The 5,878-nt window shown below is 43.6% G+C and overlaps 3 annotated features.

Moving 5' to 3' along the window:
• Positions 3,881 to 4,460: an enhancer, noted in NCBI's record as "H3K27ac hESC enhancer chr1:119836037-119836616 (GRCh37/hg19 assembly coordinates)". NCBI's record gives its function as "activates a minimal SCP1, AML or CMV promoter by ChIP-STARR-seq in naive H9 embryonic stem cells {active_cell/tissue: H9 hESC(naive)}" and the evidence as "EXISTENCE:reporter gene assay evidence [ECO:0000049][PMID:30033119]".
• Positions 4,461 to 5,040: an enhancer, noted in NCBI's record as "NANOG-H3K27ac hESC enhancer chr1:119836617-119837196 (GRCh37/hg19 assembly coordinates)". NCBI's record gives its function as "activates a minimal SCP1, AML or CMV promoter by ChIP-STARR-seq in naive H9 embryonic stem cells {active_cell/tissue: H9 hESC(naive)}" and the evidence as "EXISTENCE:reporter gene assay evidence [ECO:0000049][PMID:30033119]".
• Positions 5,041 to 5,620: an enhancer, noted in NCBI's record as "OCT4-NANOG-H3K27ac hESC enhancer chr1:119837197-119837776 (GRCh37/hg19 assembly coordinates)". NCBI's record gives its function as "activates a minimal SCP1, AML or CMV promoter by ChIP-STARR-seq in naive H9 embryonic stem cells {active_cell/tissue: H9 hESC(naive)}" and the evidence as "EXISTENCE:reporter gene assay evidence [ECO:0000049][PMID:30033119]".

Below are 5,878 nucleotides of genomic sequence, written 5' to 3' on the forward strand. Positions count from 1 at the left end.
GGGAGTATCAAGAATGGATAATAATGTCTAACAACAGCTGGGCACGGTGGCTCACGCCTGTAATCCCAGCACTTTGGGAGGCTGTGGTGGGCAGATCATGATGTCAGGAGTTCAAGACCAGCCTGGCCAACATGGTGAAACCCCGTCTCTACTAAAAATACAAAAATTATCTGGGCATGGTGGTGCATGCCTGTAATCCCAGCTACTCAGGAGGCTGAGGCAGGAGAATCGCTTGAACCCGGGAGGCGGAGGTTGCAGTGAGCCAAGATTGCACCACTGCACTCCAGCCTGGGCGACAGAGTGAGACTCTGTGTCAAAATAATAATAATAATAATGTCTAACAACAGTGTTTCTCAGACAAGAAAATGGCAGGGTGGGGGTAGGGGTGTAAGGAGACTGAAACATGTGCTTCTTAAACAGGAACCAGAGTTTCCACAACTTAGCATTGAATAGGAGATCTCTGGGTTTTAAGGTTGCTTGTCATTAACTTGCTTTGTCATTTTCCCTATTCTCTGTTGTGATTATAAAAATGGATGTTAGATCTCTGCATATACTCAGGAAATGGTTGCCACAATTAAGGTAAGAGACATATATAGACCACCTCCAAAAGTTTCCTCGTGACTCTTTGTTTCTTGGGGGTTTTGTTTGCTTTTGTAATAAGAAAATACAAGATCTACCTCTTAACAAATTTTTAAGTGCACAATACAGTCTTGTTAACTACAGTCACAATTAAATTGCACAGCAGATCTCTAGAACTTACTCATCTCAAACTCATCAAGTTGTATACATTAAATGTGTACAGCCTTTTGTATATCAATTATACCTCAATAAAGCTGTTTAAAAAAAGAGGTTAGATCTAGAAGGGATTTGGTCTAACGTTTAGTCCAGAGTTTTGCAACTGTGTGTCACAGCACAACAGGGAAGTACAGTCCCTCCAGAAGGGTGCTGCTGGCTGGGCATGGTGGCTCACGCCTGTAATCTCAGCACTTTGGAAGGCTGAGGTGGGTGAATCACCTGAGTTAGGGAGTTGGAGACCAAACTGGCCAACACGTGAAACCCCGTTTCTACTAAAAGTACAAAAATTAGCTGGGTGTGGTGGTGCTAACTTGTAATCCCAGCTACTGGGAAGGCTGAGGCACAAGAACCACTTGAACTCAGCAGACAGAGAGGTTGCAGTGAGCTGAGATTACACCACTGCACTCCAGCCTGGGCAACAGAGTGAGACTCCATCTCAAAAAAAAAAAAAAAGCGTGCTGCCAAATGTTCACTGATATGTCCATTTCTGTTATATGTGAATTGCCATTATGGCAATACTGTCCAACAGAATACAGAATTGAGCAGGTCATGTGATCTGGTAAGAAGAGATCACTGGGACCAAGAGCTAAGGGGTATGACCTTTACCAAAACACACACGAGAATATTGGGAGCAGGCAAGAGAAGCCAAGGTCAGAGCAGATTCTACTGAAACAGCCGCCCAGAACTAAAGGGTGACTGTGCTTAGAGCCCTAAGAGGACACTGTTAACAGGCACCGTGAGACTTTGCTGTACTGATATGATGATTATGGGGTGAATTCATGTGGTTCAGAGGCTTTTCATCCCTTCAGGGAGTACTACCAGAACTCCTAGTGTACCTCAAATCCCAAAAAATTAAAACTACTCTTCTAGTCCATAGGGAAAGACCAGGTGACATGACACCAAACACGATTAGGACCCAGTTCTCTATCACGTATCTACTACTAAAGCCATCCACATAAAAGACCTCCCATTTCGAAGTAGAACAATAATAAATATGAATTTTAAAATATGTAAGGTAATGCCTAAAAATCTAAATTTAAAATAAAAGCACTGGTGATTTGAATGCCAGGGTTCCAAATAAAAATTTGATTTCAAATATTATTTTATTCGTTCCTCCAAATAAAATTTAAGAAGCTGATAGATGAGAAGCTTAGATTTGGTTATTTATAAATGACTCGAAGTTTTTTTAATGTCAAAGTCTCCAGAAGCAAGAGAAATACATTCAATATTAAGGAAATGATTACTTGGAATGAGCCAATTTCCATCTTAAGAAATTAACTTTCTGTATCAGACTCATCTTAAGGGTCTCCACAGATTTTCTCAGCCGCACTGTCTCTCAGGCCCTCAATTGCTTGCTTTGCTGTCAGGGTGACCAGCTTTGCACCAGCTAGAGTCTCTAGCTCCTACCACCAAGTCCAAATTTGGATGAAGCTCCACACCACAAGGCATGGAATCTGGCTTCCCCAAGGCATGGAATCTAGCTTCCCCAGGGCATGGAATCTGGCTTCCCCGGGGCATAACCAAAGGACTGGTCATACAACCCAGAAGTGCCAGGGAGTTACTTTTCTAGGGCAGAACATTAACCAATTGGAGGCAAAGAGTGAGAGAGGAGTATTGGATAAATTGTCTCCCTTCCTTCCTTCCTTCCTTCCTTTGTTCTTCCTTTCTCTTTCTCTCTTTCTGCCTCCCTTTGTCTCTCTCTCTTTTTCTCTTTTTATCTCTCTCTCTCTTCCTCTCTCTTCTTTCTTTCTTTCTTTCATTATTTCCCTTTTCTCTCCCCAACTTCTTTCTGCTGGGGGATTGTTTCTGTCTGTAGAGACTTGACTTTAAAGAGTAAACATATACACATTTAAGTGGTATTCATACACCCCCTTATCTAAGAATGGAGAATAGTACCTCTGAAGAATACTTAAATATGTAAATTTCAATGAGCATAATTAGGACTTCAGTGGGACAAAATCACCATTTTTATCCTCTTCTTTGATGAATGCTGCATTGCTGAACTAAGAAAAGCAAGAAGACAGATGTGTATAATGCCTTTACTTTTTCAGAGATAGGCCTTTAGTGCATTTGAAATTTCTCTGCATACTTTTTTATTGTAAAAACACGCGTTATCTTTATTACTATAGGTAATAAAGAGAAGCCAAAATCCAAGGCGCCCACACCAAGCTCCTCAATGCCTTGGAAGATGTTCCAGCTTCCTCTTGTACAGTATGTTAAGCATATCCTTGTGCCAGGTGCTGTTTTATATGCTTTATATACCTTCCTTTAGTTACTTTTTACAATGATCCAAGAAGTGGATGTTATTGTTACTTCCATTTTCCAGGGGAGAAACTGATGCTCAGATTGCTTAGGTAATGTGGTGGTTAATACTGAGTGTCAACTTGATCAGATTGAAGAATACAAAGTATTGATCCTGGGTGTGTCTGGGAGGGTGTTGCCAAAGGAGATTAATATTTGAGTCAGTGGGCTGGGGAAGGCAGACCCACCCTTAATCTGGGTGGGCACAATCTAATCAGTTGCCAGTGAGGCTAGAATATAAGTAGGCAGAAAAATGTGAAAAAGAGACTGGCCTAGCTTCCTAGCCTACATCTTTCTCTCGTGCTGGATACTTCCTGCTCTTGAACTCCAAGTTCTCAGTTTTGGAATTCAGACTGGCTCTATTTGCTCCTTAGCTTGCAGATGGCCTATTGTGTGAACTTGTGACCGTGTGAGTTAATACTTAATAAACTCATATATGTGTATATATATACACTCATATATGCATATGTGTGTGTGTGTGTATATATATATATATATATATCCTATTAGTTCTGTCCCTCTAGTCAGGGTCCCTCTAGGACATTACTCTGACTAACACAGGTAATGTCCGCCGTCACAAGGCATATCAAAGAAGCAAAGCTAATGGATTACAAAGTGCTTGCTCTCTGCCACATTCTTACCCATGACTTCCATTCAGGGTGACAGGTGGCTACCACTCTCAGTTTGTAGGTAGGGAGCATAGGTGCCACCAGCATGAGGAGAATAGTGAAAATAGCACATGCTGCAGGAAAAGAAGCAGAGAATGATGCCACGTTGTCCCCATGTCCCTATCTCAGTGCTTTCACTCCTGGCCAGTCACCACCCTGTCATCTTCCCCCAGGGCAGATGTCAAAGTCAAGGTCCTAGAGAAAACCTTGGCCTCAGCCCTATCAGGTGGAAAGGAGGGGCGCTGGGGGAGAGAGCTCTTCCTTCCGTGGACCTCCGCAGCCCCAGGGGAGAGAAGGGGAAGGCCATTTGGGCACCGGCCATTTTTCTCTGTACCCCTGTATCTCACTTCAGTCTCCCATCACACACCTCCAACCACAATTTAACCTACCACCTCCTCAGGTTCATCTGGGCTTTAGCAATTACTCCCTCACATTTTACTAAGACTTGTTTTAACTGCCGAGGGAAAACAGACTCAACATGATGGACGCTAAAAAGTTCATAGGCAACTATTTTGGGGTTCTTTGGCCTTTGACTCCACTGCACCTGGGGCAGCAACCTTCCTGTTCCTTTCTGCCTTGCTAGCCAGGGTTTCCTAAGCTTTGCTCTGCCTCCTCTGCCTAACCCCCTCCTCTGGCTCTTGCTTCCTCTGTCCCTCCTCCCCACCCCAACCAAGTGTGCCAGGCTTGTCCCTGTGCTCATCAGCTCTGAGTCAGATTCCTACCCCTACCTTAGCGGCACCACTTCGAGTTAGGCCAAAGCACTGAACAGGCCCTCTTGCAGTTCCCTGTTCCCAGGCGGGAGCCCCTAGCCCCTCTCTCCTCTCTTCCTCAGGCTTCTTAATGCCTCACACTCTTCCTTTCATTGAAAACCTGCAGAATAGAAAAACAAACAAACAAAAAACAGATACGCCATGGTGCAATTTATCTTTTTTTATTTATATGATAAATGTTTTCATGGCCTAATCTTTGTAAGGAACCAGGATAACATTTGACCTTTGGCTGGTGTTCCACCCCAGAGGACAGCATATCTTAAGGCAGGAGCAAGCAACTGCATGAATAGGGATGAAAAGCCACAGGACAGCTCAGGGCAATTGCTGGAGATTAATGTTCATGCAGGGAGGGGCAGACATGGGGACCAGAGGCTAGGCAGGGTCGAGGTCCTAGTGGGAAGGCGAGCCCTCCCAGGAACACATGCAGACTGCACCCTGTGCTCACCAGGAGCCAAGATACTTTTAGCTGGTATAATGACAAAATCTGAAATGCATTCTAACATGATACTTTTACTGAAGAGTGGGATAATATGGCATTTGTTATTGCCTGTCCTAGGAGGGGTTTATATTCTAATAAAAGTAAAAACTCAAGCTAAGCAAACTAAACCCTAGAATTCAGGAATCATTGTACAGGCAGGGCAGGGATTTGGGGGAAGATAGACACCTCAGCCCATGGAAATTACAACAGGAAAATCACTCCCTACACCCACCCTCCTGCCTGTTCTCCAAAACTTGAAGAATAACATTACCAGCAGAAGGAAAAACCAGTCCCTGATTCCCACCCCCACCCCCATCCAGTTCCCTCCTTCTTTTGTTAAAGCTTTCTGTAGAGAGCAATGACTGAGAGGATCAAAGCATCTACTTCCTTCCCTTTGATGTGTGGTCTGAGACAGGCTCTGATGTCAGCCACGTGTTGTATTTCATTAGACCTGATATTAAGCTTCCTAGAGGTCAGGACGACCATGCTGCTTTAAGAACCAGGCTATAAGAAGGCTCACTTTGCTGAAAATATCAGAGGTCTCAGCACCCCTTCAGACCCACTAGGAAATTATACAGGTAAAGAAGTTGGAGTGTCTTTTCTTGATCTTTACTGCTTTGTATTATGAGGCCTCTCTTCAAGCTTACTTTTCTGCCAGAACAGTCCATATTCTGCATTCTGAAATCATATTCCTTCCTCATGTCAAATTTTGGAGCTTCAAGCAGGTATGAAGAGGGCAAGTTTTGGAGAGAGCTCCTGCTTTCTCTAAAACTGAACCTCAGCTGATTTCAAGCCCTGGGTTATCCTCTGGCCAAGTAAGATGAGCTCTGGGTAATAGCATGAGATTTGCTAGTGGTATTTCAAGA

This window comes from Homo sapiens, chromosome 1 (genome assembly GCF_000001405.40).
Source record: "Homo sapiens chromosome 1, GRCh38.p14 Primary Assembly".
Classification (NCBI taxonomy): domain Eukaryota; kingdom Metazoa; phylum Chordata; class Mammalia; order Primates; family Hominidae; genus Homo; species Homo sapiens.